The following is a 26,703-nucleotide window of genomic DNA, read 5'->3' on the forward strand; positions in this document are numbered from 1 at the left end:
AAGTATTGTTGCTGGGAGTGTCTGTGAGGGTGTTGCCAAAGGAGATTAACCTGTTAGTCAGTGGACTGAGAGAGGTAGATCCACCCTCAATGAGACTGGGCACCATCCAATCAATTGTCAGTATGGCTAGAATAAAGCAGGCAAGAGAAAGTGGGAGACCCTTACTTGCTGAATCTTCTGATCTTCTTCTTTCTCCTGTGCTGGATACTTCCTGCCCTCCAATATGAGACCCCAAGTTCTTCAGCTTTTGGAATCTTGGACTTATACCAATGGCTCTTGGGCCTTCAGCCACAAACTGAAGCCTGCATTGTTGGCTTCCCTACTTTTGAGGTTTTGGGATTCAGACTGAGCTGCTACTAGCTTCCTTGCTCCTCAACCTGCAGACCACTTATCGTGCAACTTCACCTTGTGAATGGGTAGGTCAATTCTCCATAATAAACTTCCTTTCATGTATACATATATATCCTATTAGTTCTGTCCCTCTAGAGAACACTGATTAATACAATGGACTTCCCTTAAAAAATTAAAAGTAGATCTACCATATGATCCGCAATCCCACTTCCATGTGTATATTCAAAATAATTGAAAGCAGGGTCTTGAAGAGATATTTGCACACCTATGTTAATAGCGGCACTATTCACAATATCTAAGAAGTAGAAGCAACCCAAAAATCTATCCACAGATGAATGAATAAGCAAAATGTGGTATATACATAGGATGGAATGTTACGCAGTCTTTAAAAAGGCAGAAATCCCATAACATACTACAAGAATGAATCTTGAAGACATTATGCTAAGTGAAATAAGCCAGTCACAGAAGATACTGTATAATCCCACATATATGAAATATCTAAAGTAATCAAATTTATAGAAAGAGAAAGTAGAATGGTAATTACCGGCAGCTAGAGGGAAGAGGAAAAGGAGTGTTGTTTAATGAGTACAGAGTTTCAGTTTTGTAAGATGAAAAAGTTCTAGAGATCTGTCTCATGGCAATGTGAATATATTTAACACTACTAAACTGTACACTTAAAATGGTAAATATGATGATAGATGGATGGATGGATAGATAGATAGATAGATAGATAGATAGATAGAAGATAGATAATACAACATGACCAGTTGAGGTTATTCTGAGAATACAAGACTGTGTAACATTTTAAAATCCTGAACTCAGGCCAGGAACGGTGGTCACGCCTGTAATCCCAGCACTTTGAGAGGCCGAGGCAGGCAGATCACTTGAGTTCAGGAGTTAGAGACCAGCCTGGTCAACATGGTGAAGGCCGTCTCTACCACAAATATAACATGGCCATCTCTACCAAAAACATAAAAAATTAGCCAGATGTGGCAGTGCATGCCTGTAATTCCAGCTACTTGGGAGGCTAAGGCAAAAGAAGCACTTGAACTTGGGAGGCAGGAGTTGCAGTGAGCCAAGATCGTGCTACTGCACTCCAGCCTGGGAGAGAGAGTGGGACTCCATCTCAAAAAATTAAAAACAAAAAAAAAATCTTGAACTCAAAAGGAAAAGACAAAAATATTTAGTTTTTATAAAATAATGCAAATTTAGGGCAATAAAAATTTCTTTAACAAGTCATAAAAGTAAAAATGATAAAAGATTGATGATTTCACATTAAAATTAAGAATTCCTATTCATCAAAGCATAGTATATAAAAAATAGAAGAAAAAGTCATACTCTGGGAGATGTTTTCAAAATAGTTGAACAACAAAAATAGTATCAAGACTATATAAAAAAGGGAGGCAGCCAAGATGGCCGAATAGGAACAGCTCCGGTCTACAGCTCCCAGCGTGAGTGACGCAGAAGACGGGGGATTTCTGCATTTCCATCTGAGGTACCAGGTTCATCTCACTAGGGAGTGCCACACAGTGGGCGCAGGACAGTGGGTGGAGCGCACCATGTCCAAGCCAAAGCAGGGTGAGGAATTGCCTCACTCGGGAAGCTCAAGTGGTCAGGGAGTTCCCTTTCCTAGTCAAAGAAAGGGGTGACAGGCGGCACCTGGAAAATCGGGTCACTCCCACCCTAATACTGCGCTTTTCCGACGGGCTTAAAAAATGGCGCACCAGGAGATTATATCCCGCACATGGCTCAGAGGGTCCTACGTCCATGGAGTCTCGCTGATTGCTAGCACAGCAGTATGAGATCAAACTGCAAGGCGGCAGCAAGGCTGGGGGACGGGTGCCCGCCATTGCCCAGGCTTGCTTAGGTAAACAAAGCAGCCGGGAAGCTCGAACTGGGTGGAGCCCACCACAGCTCAAGGAGGCCTGCCTGCCTCTGTAGGCTCCACCTCTGGGGGCAGGGCACAGACAAACAAAAAGACAGCAGTAACCTCTGCAGACGTAAATGTCCCTGTCTGACAGCTTTGAACAGAGCAGTGGTTCTCCCAGCACTCAGCTGGAGATCTGAGAACGGGCAGACTGCCTCCTCAACTGCGTCCCTGACCCCTGACCCCCGAGCAGCCTAACTGGGAGGCACCCCCCAGTAGGGGCAGACTGACACCTCACACGGCCAGGTACTCCTCTGAGACAAAACTTCCAGAGGAACTAGCAGACGGCAGCATTCGTGTTTCACGAAAATCCGCTCTTCTGCAGACACGGCTGCGGATACCCAGGCAAACAGGGTCTGGAGTGGACCTCCAGCAAACTCCAACAGACCTGCAGCTGAGGGTCCTGTCTGTTAGAAGGAAAACTAACAAACAGAGAGGACATCCACACCAAAACCCCATCTGTACATCACCATCATCAAAGACCAAAAGTAGATAAAACCACAAAGATGGGGAAAAAACAGAGCAGAAAAACTGGAAACTCTAAAAAGCAGAGTGCCTCTCCTCCTCCAAAGGAACCCAGTTCCTCACCAGCAACAGAACAAAGCTGGACGGAGAATGACTTTGACGAGTAGAGAGAGGAAGGCTTCAGAAGATCAAACTACTCCGAGCTAAAGGAGGAAGTTTGAACCAATGGCAAAGAAGTTAAAAACTTTGAAAAAAATTTAGACGAATGTATAACTAGAATAACCAATACAGAAAAGTGCTTAAAGGAGCTGATGGAGCTGAAAGCAAAGGCTCGAGAACTACGTGAAGAATGCAGAAGCCTCAGGAGCTGATGTGATCAACTAGAAGAAAGGGTATCAGTGATGGAAGATGAAATGAATGAAATGAAGCGAGAAGGGAAGTTTAGAGAAAAAAGAATAAAAAGAAATGAAGAAAGCCTCCAAGAAATATGGGACTATGTGAAAAGACCAAATCTACGTCTCATTGGTGTACCTGAAAGTGACAGGGAGAATGGAACCAAGTTGGAAAACACTCTGCAAGACATTATCCAGGAGAACTTCCCCAATCTAGCAAGGCAGGCCAACATTCAGATTCAGGAAATACAGAGAACGCCACAAAGATACTCCTTGAGAAGAGCAACTCCAAGACACATAATTGTCGGATTCACCAAAGTTGAAATGAAGGAAAAAATGTTAAGGGCAGCCAGAGAGAAAGGTCGGGTTACCCACAAAGGGAAGCCCATCACACTAACAGCTGATCTCTCCGCAGAAACTCTACAAGCCAGAAGACAGTGGGGGCCAATATTCAACTTTCTTAAAGAAAAGAATTTTCAACCCAGAATTTCATATCCAGCCAAACTAAGCTTCATAAGTGAAGGAGAAATAAAATACTTTACAGACAAGCAAATGCTGAGAGATGTTGTCACCACCAGGCCTGCCCTAAAAGAGCTCCTGAAGGAAGCACTAAACATGGAAAGAACAACCGGTACCAGCCACTGCAAAAACATGCCAAATTGTAAAGACCATCGAGACTAGGAAGAAACTGCATCAACTAACGAGCAAAATAACGAGCTAACATCATAATGACAGGATCAAATTCACACATAACAATATTAACTTTAAATGAAAATGGACTAAATGCTCCAATTGAAAGACACAGACTGGCAAATTGGATAAAGACTCAAGATCCATCAGTGTGCTGTATTCAGGAAACCTATCTCACATGCAGAGACACACATAGGCTCAAAATAAAAGGATGGAGGAAGATCTACCAAGCAAATGGAAAACAAAAAAAGGCAGGGGTTGAAATCCCAGTCTCTGATAAAACAGACTTTAAACCAACAAAGATCAAAAGAGACAAAGAAGGCCATTACATAATGGTAAAGGGATCAATTCAATAAGAAGAGCTAACTGTCCTAAATATATATTCACCCAATACAGGAGCACCCAGATTCATAAAGCAAGTCCTCAGTGACCTACAAAGAGACTTAGACTCCCACACAATAATAATGGGAGACTTTAACACCCCACTGTCAACATTAGACAGATCAACGAGACAGAAAGTTAACAAGCATACCCGGGAATTGAACTCATCTCTGCACCAAGGGGACCTAATAGACATCTACAGAACTCTCCACCCTAAATCAACAGAATATACATTTTTTTCAGCACACCACACCTATTCCAAAATTGACCACATACTTGGAAGTAAAGCTCTCCTCAGCAAATGTAACACAACAGAAATTACAACAAACTGTCTCTCAGACCACAGTGCAATCAAACTAGAACTCAGGATTAAGAAACTCACTCTAAACTGCTCAACTACATGGAAACTGAACAACCTGCTCCTGAATGACTACTGGGTACATAAGGAAATGAAGGCAGAAAAAAAGATATTCTTTTAAACCAACGAGAACAAAGACACAACATACCAGAATCTCTGGGACGCATTCAAAGCAGTGTGTAGAGGGAAATTTATAGCACTAAATGCCCACAAGAGAAAGCAGGAAAGATCCAAAACTGACACCCTAACATCACAATTAAAAGAACTAGAAAAGTGGAGGAGTCAAGATGGCCGAATAGGAACAGCTCCGGTCTACAGCTCCCAGCGTGAGCGACGCAGAAGACGGGTGATTTCTGCATTTCCATCTGAGGTACCGGGTTCATCTCACTAGGGAGTGCCAGACAGTGGGCGCAGGCCAGTGTGTGCGCGCACCGTGCGCGAGCCGAAGCAGGGCGAGGCATTGCCTCACCTGGGAAGCGCAAGGGGTCAGGGAGTTCCCTTTCCGAGTCAAAGAAAGGTGTGACTGACGCACCTGGAAAATCGGGTCACTCCCACCCGAATATTGCGCTTTTCAGACCGGCTTAAGAAACGGCGCACCACGAGACTGTATCCCACACCTGGCTCAGAGGGTCCTACGCCCACGGAATCTCGCTGATTGCTAGCACAGCAGTCTGAGATCAAACTGCAAGGCGGCAACGAGGCTGGGGGAGGGGCGCCCGCCATTGCCCAGGCTTGCTTAGGTAGACAAAGCAGCCAGGAAGCTCGAACTGGGTGGAGCCCACCACAACTCAAGGAGGCCTGCCTGCCTCTGTAGGCTCCACCTCTGGGGGCAGGGCACAGACAAACAAAAAGACAGCAGTAACCTCTGCAGACTTAAGTGTCCCTGTCTGACAGCTTTGAAGAGAGCAGTGGTTCTCCCAGCACGCAGCTGGAGATCTGAGAACGGGCAGACTGCCTCCTCAAGTGGGTCCCTGACCCCTGACCCCCGAGCAGCCTAACTGGGAGGCACCCCCCAGCAGGGGCACACTGACACCTCACATGGCAGGGTATTCCAACAGACCTGCAGCTGAGGGTCCTGTCTGTTAGAAGGAAAACTAACAACCAGAAAGGACATCTACACCAAAAACCCATCTGTACATCACCATCATCAAAGACCAAAAGTAGATAAAACCACAAAGATGGGGAAAAAACAGAACAGAAAAACTGGAAACTCTAAAACGCAGAGCCCCTCTCCTCCTCCAAAGGAACGCAGTTCCTCACCAGCAACGGAACAAAGCTGGATGGAGAATGATTTTGACGAGCTGAGAGAAGAAGGCTTCAGACGATCAAATTACTCTGAGCTACGGGAGGACATTCAAACCAAAGGCAAAGAAGTTGAAAACTTTGAAAAAAATTTAGAAGAATGTATAACTAGAATAACCAATACAGAGAAGTGCTTAAAGGAGCTGATGGAGCTGAAAACCAAGGCTCGAGAACTACGTGAAGAATGCAGAAGCCTCAGGAGCCGATGCGATCAACTGGAAGAAAGGGTATCAGCAATGGAAGATGAAATGAATGAAATGAAGCAAGAAGGGAAGTTTAGAGAAAAAAGAATAAAAAGAAATGAGCAAAGCCTCCAAGAAATATGGGACTACGTGAAAAGACCACATCTACGTCTGATTGGTGTACCTGAAAGTGATGGGGAGAATGGAACCAAGTTGGAAAACACTCTGCAGGATATTATCCAGGAGAACTTCCCCAATCTAGCAAGGCAGGCCAACGTTCAGATTCAGGAAATACAGAGAACGCCACAAAGATACTCCTCGAGAAGAGCAACTCCAAGACACATAATTGTCAGATTCACCAAAGTTGAAATGAAGGAAAAAATGTTAAGGGCAGCCAGAGAGAAAGGTCGGGTTACCCTCAAAGGAAAGCCCATCAGACTAACAGCGGATCTCTCGGCAGAAACCCTACAAGCCAGAAGAGAGTGGGGGCCAATATTCAACATTCTTAAAGAAAAGAATTTTCAACCCAGAATTTCATATCCAGCCAAACTAAGCTTCATAAGTGAAGGAGAAATAAAATACTTTATAGACAAGCAAATGGTGAGAGATTTTGTCACCACCAGGCCTGCCCTAAAAGAGCTCCTGAAGGAAGCGCTAAACATGGAAAGGAACAACCGGTACCAGCCGCTGCAAAATCATGCCAAAATGTAAAGACCATCGAGACTAGGAAGAAACTGCATCAACTAATGAGCAAAATCACCAGCTAACATCATAATGACAGGATCAAATTCACACATAACAATATTAACTTTAAATATAAATGGACTAAATTCTGCAATTAAAAGACACAGACTGGCAAGTTGGATAAAGAGTCAAGACCCATCAGTGTGCTGTATTCAGGAAACCCATCTCACGTGCAGAGACACACATAGGCTCCAAATAAAAGGATGGAGGAAGATCTACCAAGCCAATGGAAAACAAAAAAAGGCAGGGGTTGCAATCCTAGTCTCTGATAAAACAGACTTTAAACCAACAAAGATCAAAAGAGACAAAGAAGCCCATTACATAATGGTAAAGGGATCAATTCAACAAGAGGAGCTAACTATCCTAAATATTTATGCACCCAATACAGGAGCACCCAGATTCATAAAGCAAGTCCTGAGTGACCTACAAAGAGACTTAGACTCCCACACATTAATAATGGGAGACTTTAACACCCCACTGTCAACATTAGACAGATCAACGAGACAGAAGGTCAACAAGGATACCCAGGAATTGAACTCAGCTCTGCACCAAGCAGACCTAATAGACATCTACAGAACTCTCCACCCCAAATCAACAGAATATACATTTTTTTCAGCACCACACCACACCTATTCCAAAATTGACCACATAGTTGGAAGTAAAGCTCTCCTCAGCAAAGGTAAAAGAACAGAAATTATAACAAACTATCTCTCAGACCACAGTGCAATCAAACTAGAACTCAGGATTAAGAATCTCACTCAAAGCCACTCAACTACATGGAAACTGAACAACCTGCTCCTGAATGACTACTGGGTACATAACAAAATGAAGGCAGAAATAAAGATGTTCTTTGAAACCAACGAGAACAAAGACACCACATACCGGAATCTCTGGGCCGCATTCAAAGCAGTGTGTAGAGGGAAATTTATAGCACTAAACGCCTACAAGAGAAAGCAGGAAAGATCCAAAATTGACACCCTAACATCACAATTAAAAGAACTATAAAAGCAAGAGCAAACACATTCAAAAGCTGGCAGAAGGCAAGAAATAACTAAAATCAGAGCAGAACTGAAGGAAATAGAGACAAAAAACCCTTCCAAAAATCAATGAATCCAGGAGCTGGTTTTTTGAAAGGATCAACAAAATTGATAGACCGCTAGCAAGACTAATAAAGAAAAAAAGAGAGAAGAATCAAATAGACACAATAAAAAATGATAAAGGGGATATCACCACCGATCCCACAGAAATACAAACTACCATCAGAGAATACTACAAACACCTCTACGCAAATAAACTAGAAAATCTAGAAGAAATAGATACATTCCTCGACACATACAGTCTCCCAAGACTAAACCAGGAAGAAGTTGAATCTCTGAATAGACCAATAACAGGCTCTGAAATTGTGGCAATAATCAATAGTTTACCAACCAAAAAGAGTCCAGGACCAGATGGATTCACAGCCGAATTCTACCAGAGGTACAAGGAGGAACTGGTACCATTCCTTCTGAAACTATTCCAATCAATAGAAAAAGAGGGAATCCTCCCTAACTCATTTTATGAGGCCAGCATCATTCTGATACCAAAGCCGGGCAGAGACACAACCAAAAAAGAGAATTTTAGACCAATATCCTTGATGAACATTGATGCAAAAATCCTCAATAAAATACTGGCAAACCGAATCCAGCAGCACATCAAAAAGGTTATCCACCATGATCAAGTGGGCTTCATCCCTGGGATGCAAGGCTGGTTCAATATACGCAAATCAATAAATGTAATCCAGCATATAAACACAACCAAAGACAAAAACCACATGATTATCTCAATAGATGCAGAAAAAGCCTTTGACAAAATTCAACAACCCTTCATGCTAAAAACTTTCAATAAATTAGGTATTGATGGGACGTATTTCAGAATAATAAGAGCTATCTATGACAAACCCACAGCCAATATCATACTGAATGGGCAAAAACTGGAAGCATTCCCTTTGAAAACTGGCACAAGACAGGGATGCCCTCTCTCACCGCTCCTATTCAACATAGTGTTGGAAGTTCTGGCCAGGGCAATCAGGCAGGAGAAGGAAATAAAGGGTATTCAATTAGGAAAAAAAGGAAGTCAAATTGTCCCTGTTTGCAGACGACATGATTGTTTATCTAGAAAACCCCAACGTCTCAGCCCAAAATCTCCTTAAGCTGATAAGCAACTTCAGCAAAGTCTCAGGATACAAAATCAATGTACAAAAATCACAAGCATTCTTATACACCAACAACAGACAAACAGAGAGCCAAATCATGAGTGAACTCCCATTCACAATTGCTTCAAAGAGAATAAAATATCTAGGAATCCAACTTACAAGGGATGTGAAGGACCTCTTCAAGGAGAACTACAAACCACTGCTCAAGGAAATAAAAGAGGACACAAACAAATGGAAGAACATTCCATGCTCATGGGTAGGAAGAATCAATATCGTGAAAATGGCCATACTGCCCAAGGTAATTTACAGATTCAATGCCATCCCCATCAAGCTACCAATGACTTTCTTCACAGAATTGGAAAAAACTACTTTAAAGTTCATATGGAACCAAAAAAGAGCCCGCATCGCCAAGTCAATCCTAAGCCAAAAGAACAAAGCTGGAGGCATCACACTACCTGACTTCAAACTATACTACAAGGCTACAGTAACCAAAACAGCATGGTACTGGTACCAAAACAGAGATATAGATCAATGGAACAGAACAGAGCCCTCAGAAATAATGCTGCATATCTACAACTATCTGATCTTTGACAAACCTGAGAAAAACAAGCAATGGGGAAAGGATTCCCTATTTAATAAATGGTGCTGGGAAAACTGGCTAGCCATATGTAGAAAGCTGAAACTGGATCCCTTCCTTACACCTTATACAAAAATCAATTCAAGATGGATTAAAGATTTAAACGTTAGACCTAAAACCATAAAAACCCTAGAAGAAAACCTAGGCATTACCATTCAGGACATAGGCGTGGGCAAGGACTTCATGTCCAAAACACCAAAAGCAATGGCAACAAAAGCCAAAATTGACAAATGGGATCTAATTAAACTAAAGAGCTTCTGCACAGCAAAAGAAACTACCATCAGAGTGAACAGGCAACCTACAACATGGGAGAAAATTTTCGCAACCTACTCATCTGACAAAGGGCTAATATCCAGAATCTACAATGAACTCAAACAAATTTACAAGAAAAAAACAAACAACCCCATCAAAAAGTGGGCGAAGGACATGAACAGACACTTCTCAAAAGAAGACATTTATGCAGCCAAAAAACACATGAAGAAATGCTCATCATCACTGGCCATCAGAGAAATGCAAATCAAAACCACTATGAGATATCATCTCACACCAGTTAGAATGGCAATCATTAAAAAGTCAGGAAACAACAGGTGCTGGAGAGGATGTGGAGAAATAGGAACACTTTTACACTGTTGGTGGGACTGTAAACTAGTTCAACCATTGTGGAAGTCAGTGTGGCGATTCCTCAGGGATCTAGAACTAGAAATACCATTTGACTCAGCCATCCCATTACTGGGTATATACCCAAAGGACTATAAATCATGCTGCTATAAAGACACATGCACACGTATGTTTATTGTGGCACTATTCACAATAGCAAAGACTTGGAACCAACCCAAATGTCCAACAATGATAGACTGGATTAAGAAAATGTGGCACATATACACCATGGAATACTATGCAGCCATAAAAAATGATGAGTTCATGTCCTTTGTAGGGACATGGATGAAATTGGAAACCATCATTCTCAGTAAACTATCGCAAGAACAAAAAACCAAACACCGCATATTCTCACTCATAGGTGGGAATTGAACAATGAGATCACATGGACACAGGAAGGGGAATATCACACTCTGGGGACTGTGGTGGGGTCGGGGGATGGGGGAGGGATAGCATTGGGAGATATACCTAATGCTAGATGACACGTTAGTGGGTGCAGCGCACCAGCATGGCACATGTATACATATGTAACTAACCTGCACAATGTGCACATGTAACCTAAAACTTAGAGTATAATAAAAAAAAAAAACATTAAAAAAAAAAAAAAGAACTAGAAAAGCAAGAGCAAACACATTCAAAAGCTAGCAGAAGGCAAGAAATAACTAAGATCAGAGCAGAACTGAAGGAAATAGAGACACAAAAAACCCTTCCAAAAATCAATGAATCCAGGAGCTGGTTTTTTGAAAGGATCAACAAAATTGATAGACCACTAGCAAGACTAATAAAGAAGAAGAGAGAAGAATCAAATAGACACAATAAAAAATGATAAAGGGGATATCACCACCGATCCCACAGAAATACAAACTACCATCAGAGAATACTACAAACACCTCTACGCAAATAAACTAGAAAATCTAGAAGAAATGGATAAATTCCTTGACACATACACCCTCCCAAGACTAAAGCAGGAAGAAGTTGAATCTCTGAATAGACCAATAACAGGCTCTGAAATTGTGGCAATAATCAATAGCTTACCAACTAAAAAGAGTCCAGGACCAGATGGATTCACAGCTGAATTCTACCAGAGGCATGAGGAGGAACTGGTAGCATTCCTTCTGAAACTATTCCAATCAATAGAAAAAGAGGGAATCCTCCCTAACTCATTTGATGAGGCCAGCATCATCCTGATACCAAAGCCAGGCAGAGACACACCAAAAAAGATAATTTTAGACCAATATCCTTGATGAACATTGATGCAAAAATCCTCAATAAAATACTGGCAAACCGAATCCAGCAGCACATCAAAAAGCTTATCCACCATGATCAAGTGGGCTTCATCCCTGGGATGCAAGGCTGGTTCAATATATGCAAATCAATAAATGTAATCCAGCATATAAACACAACCAAAGACAAAAACCACATGATTATCTCAATAAATGCAGAAAAGCCCTTTGACAAAATTCAACAACCCTTCATGCTAAAAACTCTCAATAAATTAGGTACTGATGGGACGTATCTCAAAATAATAAGAGCTATCTATGACAAACCCACAGCCAATATCATACTGAATGGGCAAAAACTAGAAGCATTCCCTTTGAAAACTGGCACAAGACAGGGATGCCCTCTCTCACCACTCCTATTCAACATAGTGTTGGAAGTTCTGGCCAGGGCAATTAGGCAGGAGAAGGAAATAAAGGGTATTCAATTAGGAAAAGAGGAAGTCAAATTGTCCCTGTTTGCAGATGACATGCTGGTATATCTAGAAAACCCCATCGTCTCAGCCCAAAATCTCCTTAAGCTGATAAGCAACTTCAGCAGTCTCAGGATACAAAATCAATGTACAAAAATCACAAGCATTCTTACACACCAACAACAGACAAACAGAGAGCCAAATCATGAGTGAACTCCCATTCACAACTGCTTCAAAGAGAATAAAATACCTAGTAATCCAACTTACAAGGGATGTGAAGGACCTCTTCCAGGAGAACTACAAACCACTGCTTAAGGAAATAAAAGAGGACACAAACAAATGGAAGAACATTCCATGCTCATGGGTAGGAAGAATCAATATCGTGAAAATGGCCATACTGCCCAAGGTCATTTATAGATTCAATGCCATTCCCATCAAGCTACCAATGACTTTCTTCACAGAATTGGAAAAAACTACTTTAAAGTTCATATGGAACCAAAAAAGAGCCCGCATCGCCAAGTCAATCCTAAGCCAAAAGAACAAAGCTGGAGGCATCACACTACCTGACTTCAAACTATACTACAAGGCTACAGTCACCAAAACAGCATGGGACTAGTACCAAAACAGAGATATAGATCAATGGAACAGAACAGAGCCCTCAGAAATAACACTGCATGTCTACAACTATCTGATCTTTGACAAACCTGAGAAAAACAAGCAATGGGGAAAGGATTCCCTATTTAATAAATTGTGCTGGGAAAACTGGCTAGCCATATGTAGAAAGCTGAAACTGGATCCCTTCCTTACACCTTATACAAAAATTAATTCAAGATGGATTAAAGACTTAAACGTTAGACCTAAAACCATAAGAAGCCTAGAAGAAAACCTAGGCATTACTATTCAGGACATAGGCATGGGCAAGGACTTCATGTCTAAAACACCAAAAGCAATGGCAACAAAAGACATAATTGACAAACGGGATCTAATTAAACTAAAGAGCTTCTGCACAGCAAAAGAAACTGCCATCAGAGTGAACAGGCAACCTACAAAATGGGAGAAAATTTTCGCAACCTACTCATCTGAAAAAGGGCTAATATCCAGAATCTACAATGAACTCCAACAAATTTACAAGAAAAAAACAAACAACCCCATCAAAAAGTGGGCAAAGGATATGAACAGACACTTCTCAAAAGAAGACATTTATGCAGCCAAAAAACACATGGAAAAATGCTCATCATCACTGGCCATCAGAGAAATGCAAATCAAAACCACAATGAGATATCATCTCACACCAGTTAGAATGGCAATCATTAAAAAGTCAGGAAACAACAGGTGCTGGAGAGGATGTGGAGAAATAGGAACACTTTTACACTGTTGGTGGGACTGTAAACTAGTTCAACCATTGTGGAAGTCAGCGTGGCTATTCCTCAGGGATCTAGAACTAGAAATATCATTTGACCCAGCCATCCTATTACTGGTTATATACCCAAACGAGTATAAATCATGCTGCTATAAAGACACATGCACACGTATGTTTATTGCACGGCACTATTCACAATAGCAAAGACTTGGAACAACCCAAATGTCCAACAACGATAGACTGGATTAAGAAAATGTGGCACATATACACCATGGAATACTATGCAGCCATAAAAAATGATGAGTTCATGTCTTTGTAGGGACATGGATGAAATTGGAAACCATCATTCTCAGTCAACTATCACAAGAACAAAAATCCAAACACCGCATATTCTCACTCATAGTTGGGAATTGAACAATGAGAACACATGGACACAAGAAGGGGAACATCACACTCTGGGGACTGTTGTGGGGTGGGGGGAGGGGGGAGGGATAGCATTAGGAGATATATCTAATGCTAAATGACAAGTTAATGGGTGCAGCACACCAGCATGGCACATGTATACATATGTAACTAACCTGCACATTGTGCACATGTACCCTAAAACTTAAAGTATAATAATAATAAAATAAAATAAAAAAAAGACTATATAAAAAAATGCTTAAAAACCAGTAAGAAAATTTTGGCAAACCACCTCACAGGAAAAAATGGGCAAAGTTATAAACAAATATTTTATAGAATATGATAAACAAGCAATAAATATGTAGATTTCAAGCACGCTAGTAAACAGGTAAATGCTAATTAAAATATATGATATATTGACAAAAATTTAAGTCTGAAAGTGTCAAGTTTCAACAAAAAGTAAAAACAAGTGGAATTCTTTTATACTGCTATGAAAGGTAAATTGAGTATGACCATTTGGAAAACAATTTGGTTACCTAATAAATTTCAAGCTGCTTATGTCAGTTTTCTAAAATTGCCAAAATAAATTATCTCAAGTTTAGCAGCTAAAATAATGCTATCTCACAGTTAGGAAGTCAGAAGTTGAGCGAGCTCAGCTGGGAATTCTGCTTAGGATCTCACAATGCTGAAATCAAGGTGTCGGCCAGCTTGTGTTCTTATCTGGAGGCTCAGGTTGATAGCAAACATAATTTAATTCCTTCTCACGGTTTCCACGTGGCCTCCATGTCTTCAAGTCAGCAACAAGTAGGTTGAGTGCCTCTCACTCTACAAGTGTCTAACTTTCTCTTGCATTGCATCTCTTCTGCCTTTAAAGGGTCACATGATTATATTAGGTGTACCTACATAGACTAAGATAATCTTCCTATCTTAAGGTCAGCTAATTAGCATGATTAGTAATTTTAGTTACATCTGCAAAGTTCCTTTTGCCACATAACACAACATAACATAACTATAGTTGTGACATCAGAGAGTGAGGATCATGGAGGCAGAATTTTGCTTTCACAGTTCACCCTTTGGCCTTCATGATCCATGGTCCTCCCATATAAAAACACATTCACTCCCTGCCCAGGTCCCTGAAGATCTCATCACATTATAACACAAATTCAGTTCAAAAATCTTCCCTAAATCTAACCAGCTTTAATGTTCCAAATCTCATCATCTAAATCCTTTAAATCACATATGGTTGGGGCTCTGTATATAATCTATCATGGGACATAGATCACTCCATCAGGGACCTGTGGCTGTAAAGAAACAGATTATCTGCTTCCAACACATGATGGGTCAAGCATAGGATAACAGTTATATACATTCCAGTTCAAACAGGGAGGAAATAAAAGGTAAAATGGAGTCATGAGTCCAAAATAATTTTGAAATCCAGCTGAGCAAACTCTATGAGCTTTTTCATGGTTCACAACTCCATCAACTGAGTCATTCTTCCTTTTTTGTAAAAGGGTAGCAAGAAATTGCAATTGAGTAGTTTTATCAGCCTGTTTCCTGCCAGAAGAAGTTGGAGGGTATGACAATCTACTTTCATTTATACTCTCCCTCTCTCTCTTTTAGTCCAAGTTGGCAGTGCTTCTGCTGACAAAAAATCCTCAAGATCTTTATGGGTCTCCTGCATATGTCATGAGGACTCATTCCACCAGGCAATGGCATCCTCCACAGATCTTTCTTAGATAATACTATCTCTATTTATTTTCTTCTGAGATAGTTGAGAGTGTCTAGAGATCACATATTCAGTCTTTTCAAAGAGCCTTTTGTGCAACTGAATATTCTAATTGTATATCTCCCTGAAGTTTTAGCAGGAGTATCAGAGTCACATCTTCATGCTTCTTTCTGGAGTAGACTTTCCTGATACTCAATCTCTTCATTTGAGAGTCTTCGGCCATTTGGGTAAGCTGAGTATTTCCCAACTCATCATGTCTATTCAAAGCTTTCTAAGTTTTTTCTAACATGTTCTTCAAAATTCTCCCATTCTCCACCCACTTCTATGCAAGAGGAGTGGGTGGAGGATAGGGGCTATCCTATTGCCATAACAAATTACCATAAACTTAGTGGGCTAAAACAATATCCATTCATCATTGGTCAGTTCTGTACATCAAAATTTCAGTAGGATCAGCTAAGTATTCTCTTTAGAATTTCAAAGGCTGAAATCAAAGTGTCAAGTGGTCTATGTTTTTATCTAGTGGATCTGAGAGAGACTTCACTTCCAAGTTCATTCATGTTGTTGGCAAAATTCATTTTCTTCTCATGATTTCCATGTGGCTCCCTACATCTTCCAGCCAGGAAAGGAAGATCAAATCCTTCTCATTCTTTCAATCTCTTAGACTTCCCCACCTACTGCATCTCTCCGACTTCCTAGTCTGCCTTTCTCTTCTGTTTTGAAGGGCTCATGTAAGTACATTAAGCCCACCCTCATCTTGAGCTCAACGTATTAGTAACCTTAACTATACCTGTAAACTTCCTCCTGCCATGCAAAGTAGCCTAACTATGGGTGTGACACCACATAGCTAAGATCATGAGAGCCAAAATTCTTCCTTCTACCCTGCACATACCCGTAATCTCACAATTCCATTCCTAGGCATATAAGACATATAAGTTTTATTGCAGTATTGCGTATATAAAAAAAAACCTAAAAACTACTAAAAAAGCCTATCAACTTGATGTTAGGTAAATCTGTTTATAATTCATAAAATAGATTATTACAGAACAATGAGAAAAAGACTAAACTACAACAAAAAAAGCTCGTTGACTAGATACTAGGCAAATCTATTTGTAATTCATAAAATTGACATAGCAATAAAAAATGAATAAACTAGGGCTTCACATATTACATGGATGGTTCTCACAAATTATTTTAAGCAAAAAAATCAAGTCACAAAAATATATACAGTAAGATTTCAGTTATATAAATTAAGAAACATAAAAAAAGTCAAACTTAGGTTCCATAATATAATTGTTTAAAAGACATGTATTGGCCAGGCATGGTGGCTCACATTTGAAGTCCCAGCACTTTCAGAGGCTGAGACAGGAGGATCACTTGAGGCCAGGAGTTTGAGATCAGCCTAGTCAACATAGTGAGAATATGTCTCTACAAGAAACAAACAAACAAACCAAGGTTTTTAATTAGCTGGGTGTGGTGGTGCACACCTGTAGTCCTAGCTATTTGGGAGGCTGAGGCAGGAAGATCTGTTGAGCCCATGAGTTCGAGGCTGCAGTGAGCTATGATTGTGCCACTGCATTCCCACCTGGGTGACAGAGCAAGATTCCAGCTCTTAAAATAATGTATGTAGTGCTTACCCTTTTATAGGCATTATGTTAGGTAGTGAGGTCACAAAGTTGAAGAAATATGGTCCCTAGCCTAGAGAGTCTCTTGGGAAGAAAAGCAAATAAGCACATAGTAATGATGTCATAACTGATGCAGACACTGATGCAGTAACAACAAAGGATAACGGGCAATATAAACTGAAGTAAGACAAAGTCAATAGAAGAACACCAAAAATGGGGCAATAATCATGGTCTGGCAGAGACAAAGAAGATTTAACACAGAAGGTGGCAGGAACTGGGTCTACTAAAAAGGTGAGTACAAATAGGCAAGTTGAACAGGTGCAGAAATAGTCCTATCATTTGAATGTGTCCCATCCAAACTTACGTGTTGGAAAATTCACCCAAATGGTACAGTGTTGGTATATTAATCTGTTCTCATGCTGCTAATAAAGACATACCTGAGACTGGGTAATTTATAAAGGAAACAGGTTTAATTGACTCACAGTTCAGCATGGCTGGAGAGGCCTCAGAAAACTTACAATCATGGCAGAAGGGGAAGCAAACACATCCTTCTTCACATGGCATCAGGAAGGAGAAGTGCCAAGGAAAAAAAGGAAAAGCCCCTTATAAAAACCATCAGATCTCGTGAAAACTCACTATCATGAGAACAGCAGCATGACGGTAACCACCCCCATGATTCAATTACCTCCCATTGGGACCCTCCCACAACATGTGGGGATTACAGGAACTACAATGAGATTTGACTGGGGACATGGCCAAACCATATCAGTTGGGAAGTGGAGCTTTTGGGGAGGTGTTTAAGTCATGAGGGCTCCATCCCCATGAATGGATTAACGCCACTATTAAAAAGCGTTTATGGAAGTGGCTTCTCACTCTTCTGCTCTTCTGCCATGTGAGGACAGAGTGTGCCCCTCTTGCCTTTCTGCCTTCTTCAATATAAAGATGCAGCAAGAAAGTCCTTACCGGACACTGTGCCTTGATCTTGGATTCTGCAGCCTCCAAAACTGTGAAAGATTAAACTTCTGTTCCTTATAAATTACCCAATCTCAGGTATTCTGTTATAGCAGTACAAAATAGACTAAGAGAAGTACCTTTCCGACATAGGGAGCAGATACATTGTTGTGAGAATACGGCCCACTGGAGAAAATTTAAGTAGTTGAGAGCATAAGATGTGTTTAGGAATATGAGAATAAACTGCTTGGTCTCAAGTGCTATCATAAAGAGTTGAGATTATTTTTCTTCAAAGGGCATGGAAAAGAATTGGAGGATTTCAAACAAGGAAAGGGGGCTGAATTTTATATCTTATTCCAGAAAAAACAATTAGGAGCTGCTATACACAGAAAGGACTAATGCATAATGAGACCATACACATCAAAGGCCAGTTGTGACAGCCATATAATGATCTAAATAAGAAGGGTTGCTACACAAGGGTAGTGGAGGTGGAGATGGACAGAAGAGTCCCAGAAAAGATGGTCATTAATTGGGAAAAGAATGATAGAGGGGAAAAAAGACTGGAATATGACTTCTGGCTATCTAACCTAGAAAACTGTCTAGTGATGCTATCACAGAAATAAAATAGAGCGGGAGGAGTTTTGAGGTATAAATGATAAATTCAATTTTGGGGCTTATTCAATTTGAGATTTCTTTGGGACATCTATGTTCAGTGGGCAGTTGTGCCAAGGGGAGAAATATAATTGTTATAAGACATGAACATTGATGGCATAAAGTTGACTGTTAAAATCAGGGACATGTAATAGATCACTCAGGTTAATATACACTGCAGGCAGTAGGTTTAAACTTTGTTGATTCACAGACACATTTGAGACTCCATTAAGAGCTACAGAAATTTTCAGGAAAAGATTTTCACCCAGAATTCTGCATAAAATTCCAGGTCATTCTTAGGCCTGCGAAAGACAGTGTGAAAACTATCGAGAGAGCCAGAAGAAAACCTCAGAGAGATGGTGTCATGAAAGCAAAGGAAGAGGAGATTCAAGGAAGAAGTGGTCAAGATTTCCAATAGCCACAGAGAGGCCAAATATGATAACTGCAAGCACCTGGGGTACATGACACGGAGGAGGTCCCTGACTCCAGGTATGCCACTGGAGTGGAATCATGAAGAATGAGTTGAAGAGGGAGTAGTAGCTGAGTAGTTGTACAAGAAGAGTCTTTGAGGATAGAAAGAATGGAGGGGGAGCTGCAGCATGAGGTAGAAGCAGAACTGTGGGTCTGCGGGCTGTCAGGGAGGAAGTTCAAGATGCAGGCAAGGTCTCTAGAGAAGCCTCTGTGTACCGAAATGCAAAGCTTTGATAAATGCAACTGCTTAGGAGAAGAGGAGAAACATGCTTGACTAAGCCAGAAAAGAAAATATATCTCAACTGTAGTGAGATTAAAAAAACTGAAGAAAGTTTAAGGAGCCAGACCTGGCTTTTTTTTTTTTTTTTTTTTTTTTTTTGACAGAGTCTCACTCTGCTGCCCAGGCTGGAGTGCAGTGGTGCAATCTTGGCTCACTGCAACCTCCACCTCCTGGGTTCAAGCAATCTTCCTGTCTCAGCCTCCTGAGTAACTGGGACTACAGGCACACACCACAATGCCCAGCTAATCTTTTTTTTGGTATTTTTAATAGAAACGGGGTTTCACCATATTGATCAGGCTGGTCTTGAACTTGTGACCTCAGACCTGAATTTTAAAAACCAGTCCTGCTCCTGACTTCCTTCCCCTATTGATTTAGGGTGGGCTATTTATGTGGCTTTTATTTTTCTTTGCTGAACAATGGAATTTTAAGATCTTATGACTAAATATCCATTTACAGGCCTACATCTTATGCTTTGACACAGTCTGGAATATTCTCTATATAACTATTAATATATAGCATTTCATATTCTATACTAGATTGTAAACTATAGTAACACTAATTATAGCTGTCAGCAAATAATATAGCTTTTTATTTCTTGTTTAGTGTCCTCTTAGAAACCTCTGTAGGTTCATCATGGACCCCATTGAAACAATTATATTTTGGTAGTGAATATGTCAACAATTTTAACTTTATATATATATATTTTTAAGTTAGCCACATAAGACCTGCAATACCTTACGTATGATACTTTCTGCTTTGGTCACACATTTCATTAAATTTATTGTCACATCTTCAATACCCTTTCACACTGACCTCATCCTTCTATGGTGTCGTCAACCCCAGCTATTTGCCCTCTCTGCACCTAGGCAGACTCATGTGGTGTGAGCACTGCAGGATCCTACTACAGAGCCAAACAGGCTGGTGCCACCACTGGGTCCTGGGCTCCAGCCATAGCTCCATCTGCAATGTTCTGTGACCCTTCCAAGCACATTTTCCTTTTCTGCTCAGTAGCTTCTCCAAATATTATGAATAACTTTTTTCAAGCCCCCCAGCACTTACCCTTTCCTCTTCTCACCACTCCTAGCCTTTTATTTTTACAATCTCACCTTTTACGCTGAGTAGATATCATATTAAATATTAGTTGTCATATTTATTATCTAATCCTCTATCACACTGTGCCCAAGAGCTTTTCACATGTCATTCAATCTTTCCTCAACTAAAAATAAAAGATGCATGCAAGTACAGTTTAAAACTAATGATTCATTTAATTTAAAGCAGATGCATTTATCTTTCTATGCAGTTTTTTATTTTCAAATTATTAACAACATGTCATTTCTAAGATTTTAATAAATTCGCTGTCACACATGAAACACACTATGCTCACTGTTAAAATACATCATATGCCAGAAACTAAAATTGCAACTTTTGTTTAAAATTTAAAACACTATGCTCATCAAAAAATCCATCTGTTACCCGGTAATTTTTAACATAGTAATTAGACTAAATGGGATCTCATTTTATAGTTAGAATGTAAATGTTGACATTAAAAGGAAAGCAAAATAGTTATTATCATGGTAAGGAATCATAAGGAGTACAATAAATTATGTAATACATAGATTTTTCAGTAACAAAAACAAAGTAAACTGCTCAACCTCTGGAGATTCAGATTTTGTTTTTAAAAATAAACAATTATTGAATAGAGTAGCATATTCCTAGCTCTTACATACCACATATGTCAAAAATGTTTCAAGAAATTGTTGTGCTCTGATAACTTAGGTCTATCTATCTATCCATCTACAGAAATATGAGGTTTCTAATATTACTAAAATCATAGTTTGCATTTATAATGTGGTAAGGTACACATGTAGCAAGGCTATTATAATTTTAAAATTCTGTATTTTTAAAGTCTGAATTTTAAAATTCCTAAGTCTTGGGAAACAAGTGCAAAGTTATAATGTGCAGGAGAGATACTTAAAATAATCAAGAGAAAAAGAGGAAACATATAAATGTGACTATTATCCTGGAAAATTCAGTGCAATAAACATTTATTGAACTCTTACTATTTACAAGGCACAACAGGTCTCTACAATACAAAGAATATAATGTTTTCTTTTGAAGTCTCTTTACAATTGTTCTATAAAGAAAGAAATGGGGGAAGGTATTCAGCCTCTTGATTGAGTTTTAGAAGTTTGTTCAGGTTCTTTGATCCAGCATGCTGTGGACTCCCTGTGTCATAGTATACAGGAGAATTAATAAAAACCTAACAGGAGCAACTATTGAAGGTTCTTTGTTTTGTTGTTGTTTAGCAGACCTGCTTAAGAAAGAAAAATTGGTAATTTAAAACAAACAAAAATAGTATGAAAGAAAGGGGAGAAAGAACCATCACTCTAATACCAGAAAAACTAACAATTCACAGTTAGCCAGAAATTGTATATTTATTTTAAAAATTGAAATAAATTCCTGCTAATGATTAAAAATATATACTGGAATGTAGCTGTATTTGTGAATGTCCACTTACTAAACTGCTGTCCATGTTTAGAATCTTTCATCAGAGTTACCTCAAACTGTGAAAGAATTGAGAGCCAGTTGATCTATCTCCACAATTACTGGGAGGGTCCAATCACTATTGTTGTTATCAAAGAAAACAGTGAAATGTCAAGATTATTGGAAATTTTTACTTACTGGCATTTGTTCTCAGGGCAGCCTGATGCACTGAGTCTACCTGGACCTAAAATGATGCCACAGCCCAATCAAGGCTAAATACTCAAAAGCTTTTTAAATAAACGAATGAATGAATACAAACACTAACAGTATGTCTAATCTCTCCCCTTCCCTTTCTCCAGGGAATATGTGAGCCAATTAAACAGGAACTTTTGAAAGGATAGAAAGCCCTAGAAAACTCTGTAGAGTTAGAGACTGGGCAAATCATCCTGAATTATCAAATAGAAAAAATGACCAGGTACGATGACAACACTGTGAAGTTTTCTTGTTACCACATTGTCAATTCAAAACAATGATTTTCCAAATAAGGGGAAAAAAACAGAAGTACTTATTTCCAAAACTAAAAATGAATTTATTTTTTAATCCTTCCAATTGCCTTCCTATATTTAGACTGTCTTGGCTCTGTTCTGGAAAATAGTTGAGCCCTGTTTATCTCAGATAAAGGTGGGCCACTGGACTGTGCTTGAGGAAGAGTTGCATGGGTAACAGACACCAGGAAGGAACCTCATCCTTGAAATGACCTAAATCAGAATGGGTGTTCCCTGGGAGCTCTTCTTGCATCTAGAGATATTCTTGACTCTTCAGTAAATGATTCTGTATTACTAAAGTGATACCAAATTTTTAAATTTCGTTTAAAGTTACACATTAATTTATTCTTTTTTTTTTTTTTTTTTTTTTTGTGAGAGACAAAGTCTCGCTCTGTCTCCCAGGCTGGAGTGCAGTGGTTCGATCTCAGCTCACTGCAAGCTCCGCCTCCTGGGTTCATGCCATTCTCCTGCCTCAGCCTCCCGAGTAGCTGGGACTACAGGCACCCACCGCTACGCCCGGCTAATTTTTCGTATTTTTAGTAGAGACAGGGTTTCACTGTGTTAGCCAGGATGGTCTCGATCTCCTGACCTCGTGATCCTCCTGCCTTGGCCTCCCAAAGTGCTGGGATTACGGGCGTGAGCCACTGCGCCTGGCCAATTTATTCATTTTTTTGAAGGCAATATAATGCTGTGGTTAAGCATGCAGGCATGAAAGCCAAACACCCTGTATTTGAACTTAGTTTTTTCAGAATCTTGTCTCAGTTTCTCCCTCTGATGAAATGGGTATAATAACAGTACTTGTCTAGCTCGTAATAGTGCTATGAAGGTTAGAGGAGTCAATAGATGCAAAGCCAGTAGAATAGTAACTGATTTTTTTTTTAATTATACTTTCAGTTCTGGGATGCATGTGCAGAAAGTGCAGGTTTGTTACACGGTGGTTTGCTGCCACCCATCAACCATCATCTAGGTTTTAAGCCCCACATGCATTAGGTGTTTTTCCTAATGCTCTCCCTCCCCTGGTCCCCCACCCCATGACAGGTGCTGGTGTGTGATGTTCCCCTCCCTGTGTCCACGTGTTCTCATTGTTCAACTCCCTCTTATGAATGAGAACATGTAGTGTTCGGTTTTCTGTTCCTGTGTTACTTTGCTGAGAATGGTTTCCAGCTTCATCCATGTCCCTGCAAAGGACATAAACTCATCCTTTTTTATGTCTGCACAGTATTCTATGGTGTATATGTGCCATATCTTCTTTAACCAGTCTATCATTGATGGGCATTTCGGTTGGTTCCAGGTCTTGGCTATTGTGAACAGTGCTGCAATAAACATATGTGTGCATGTGTCTTTATAGTAGAATGATTTATAATCCTTTGGGTATATATTCAGTAATGGGATTGCTGGGTCAAATGGTATTCCTGGTTCTAGATCTTTTAGGAATCCCCACACTGTCTTCCACAATGGTTGAACTAATTTACACTCCCACCAACAGTGTAAAAGCATTCCTATTTCTCCACATTCTCTCCAACATCTGTTGTTTCCTGACTTTTTAATGATTGCCATTCTAACTGGCATGAGATGGTATCTCACTGTGGTTTTGATTTGCATTTCTCTAATGACCAGTGTTGATGAGCTTTTTTTCATATGTTTGTTGGCCGCATAAGTGTCTTCTTTTGAGAAGTGTCTGTTCACATACTTTGCCCACTTTTTGATAGGGTTGTTTGATTTTTTCTTGTAAATTTGTTTAAATTCCTTAAAGATTCTGGATTTCAGATCTTTGTCAGATTGATACATTTCAAAAAATTTTTCCCATTCTGTGGGTTGCCTGTACACCCTAATGATAGTTTATTTTGCTGTGCAGAAGCTCTTTAATTTAATTAGATCCCATTTGTCAATTTTGACATTTGTTGCAATTGCTTTTGGTGTTTTAGTCATGAAGTCTTTGCCCATGCCTATGTCCTGAATCGTATTGTCTAGGTTTTATTCTAGGGTTTTTATGGTTTTAGGTTTTACATTTAAGTCTTTAATCCATCTTGAGTTAATTTTTGTATAAGGCATAAGGAAGGGATCCAGTTTCAGTTTTCTGCATATGGCTAGCCATAACTGACTTATTATAATGCAATCAAGTTAGCCACTGGTATTACTTAAAATAACAATTCACAGCTCCCTTTTATTTGCTTTGATAACTAACATCCACCTGAGAATAAGTATAACAGCAGAGATAGGGCCGGGCGCGGTGGCTCACGTCTGTAATTGCAGCACTTTGGGAGGCCGAGGCAGGCGGATCACAAGGTCAGGAGATCGAGACCATCCTGGCTAACATGGTGAAACCCTGTCTCTACTAAAAATACAAAAAATTAGCCGGGCGTGATGGCGGGCGCCTGTAGTCCCAGCTACTCGGGAGGCTGACGCAGGAGAATGGTGTGAACCCGGGAGGCGGACCTTGCAGTGAGCCAAGATCACACCACTGCACTCTAGCCTGGGTGACAGAGCAAGACTCCGTCTCAAAAAAAAAAAAAAAAAAAAAAAGAGCAGAGATAATTCCCAAATGTTCCTTCCAAACACTCATTTTATCAGTGCGTTATAACTCAGACCAAGATAAGTGTGATGCTTATGTTCCAAGGTTGGTCCATAAAGGTCTTTCCTCACCTATTAGTTTGTTTAACTACAGAACTAATATTCTTAGCCTGCATTTTGAATCCTAGAATCATCAAACTATGCCATACACAAGAGGAAAAAAAAGAAGAAAGGAGCAATAAATTTCACTGTAGAGGAAACTGTAGTTTCTCTGAAAGATTTTATCACAATATAACTTCTAAACACTTCCTATACAAAAAGCAACCATTTGGAAACTAAACTGAATTGGCAGGGCGTGGTGGCTCACTCCTGTAATCCCAGCACTTTGGGAGGCGAAGATGGGGGGATCACAAGATCAGGAGTTCAAGATCAGCCTCGCCAACATGGTGAAACCCCATCTCTACTAAAAATACAAAAATTAGCCGGGCGTGGTGATGTGCACCTATAATCCTGGCTACTCAGGAGGCTGAGGCAGGAGAATTGCTTGAACCCGGGAGGCAGAAGTTGCAGTGAGCCGAGATTGTGCCACTCTACTCCAGCCTGGGCAACACAGTGAGACTTCATCTCAGAAAAAAAAAAGAAAGAAAGAAAAGAAAAATAGAAACTCATCTGAATAAATTAGTTTTATTTAGAAAACTAAGAACATTCTTAGTGTCACCCAAATAAAACTAATAAACAAGCTTTATTAGTTTTATAGGCTGGTGAAGTATCAAATAAAACTAACCTGTTTATTAGCTTTATTTGAGTGAAACTGAGAATGTTCGCTGAATCTATAAAGGTAATACTATTAGAACTCACCCTCCAAAATAATATAGATCATGTCTTATCACTTGTTTCCTTCAGTTATAATGTTTCCAACAGGTTTTCAATCCAACCCAATGAGGTTAGGCAAATATAAACAAAAATATCTTGCAAATGTTGAAACTCTGGGTGAATACTGGCACCTAAAACACATGGACAGAATGTCCCATCTACTACTAAAGCTCACCAATCTGTATGGCAACCTCAAAAATGGATGATCTTCCTTTTGTTAGCATACATCCTCCTTACATCCACTGTCTCATGAAAGAAACCTGAAGGTCCTTGAAATCTTCTTCAACCTAGACCATCAACCTTTCACCAATCCTTGTGAAATCAACCTTCAGAACATATTTTTCATCTGTCCATTTTTCCTCATCTTCCTAACCCAAACAACTATCTGTTAACCACATACAACCATCCTCTACACAGAAGTCAATGATCCTCTTTGAAAAAAATCGTAAATTTTCCCATTGCATTTATGATAAAGTTTAAAATACTAAAAATGACCTACATATTGTAGGTTAAGCTAATATTCTAATTTTCATAGGGCCTGTATCAATATGCAATTATACTTAGTTGCATGATTATTCATTTAATGAATAAATGGTAAAAACCAATAAAGACAGGAACAACTTTGCATATTCATCATTGTATACTTAGTACCTAACAGTTTCTGATCCATAATCAATTCCTAGTAAAGATTTGTTGAATATATTATTTTTAAAAAACACAATCCCTAAAACCTCTATTATACTCAGATTCTATCTACCAGAATCTGTCAGTAAATTATTTGCTCTATAAAGTTACCATTCGTAAAATAATTTTTCCTTTTGTTTTTCTTTCCTAAACTGGGATGCCCAAAGGGCTTATTT

General features: G+C 39.7%; 1 protein-coding gene across 7 annotated transcripts in view, besides 1 other annotated feature; it reads right to left on the minus strand.

The window, feature by feature from the left end:
* Positions 1 to 26,703, minus strand: part of CPNE8 (copine 8) — a 254,633-nt gene that overhangs the window by 142,605 nt on the left and 85,325 nt on the right. The window lies entirely within an intron of this gene.
* Positions 5,150 to 5,745: an enhancer, noted in NCBI's record as "NANOG-H3K27ac-H3K4me1 hESC enhancer chr12:39193759-39194354 (GRCh37/hg19 assembly coordinates)". NCBI's record gives its function as "activates a minimal SCP1, AML or CMV promoter by ChIP-STARR-seq in primed H9 embryonic stem cells {active_cell/tissue: H9 hESC(primed)}" and the evidence as "EXISTENCE:reporter gene assay evidence [ECO:0000049][PMID:30033119]".

The sequence above is a fragment of the Homo sapiens genome, chromosome 12 (assembly GCF_000001405.40).
Source record: "Homo sapiens chromosome 12, GRCh38.p14 Primary Assembly".
Lineage (NCBI taxonomy): Eukaryota > Metazoa > Chordata > Mammalia > Primates > Hominidae > Homo > Homo sapiens.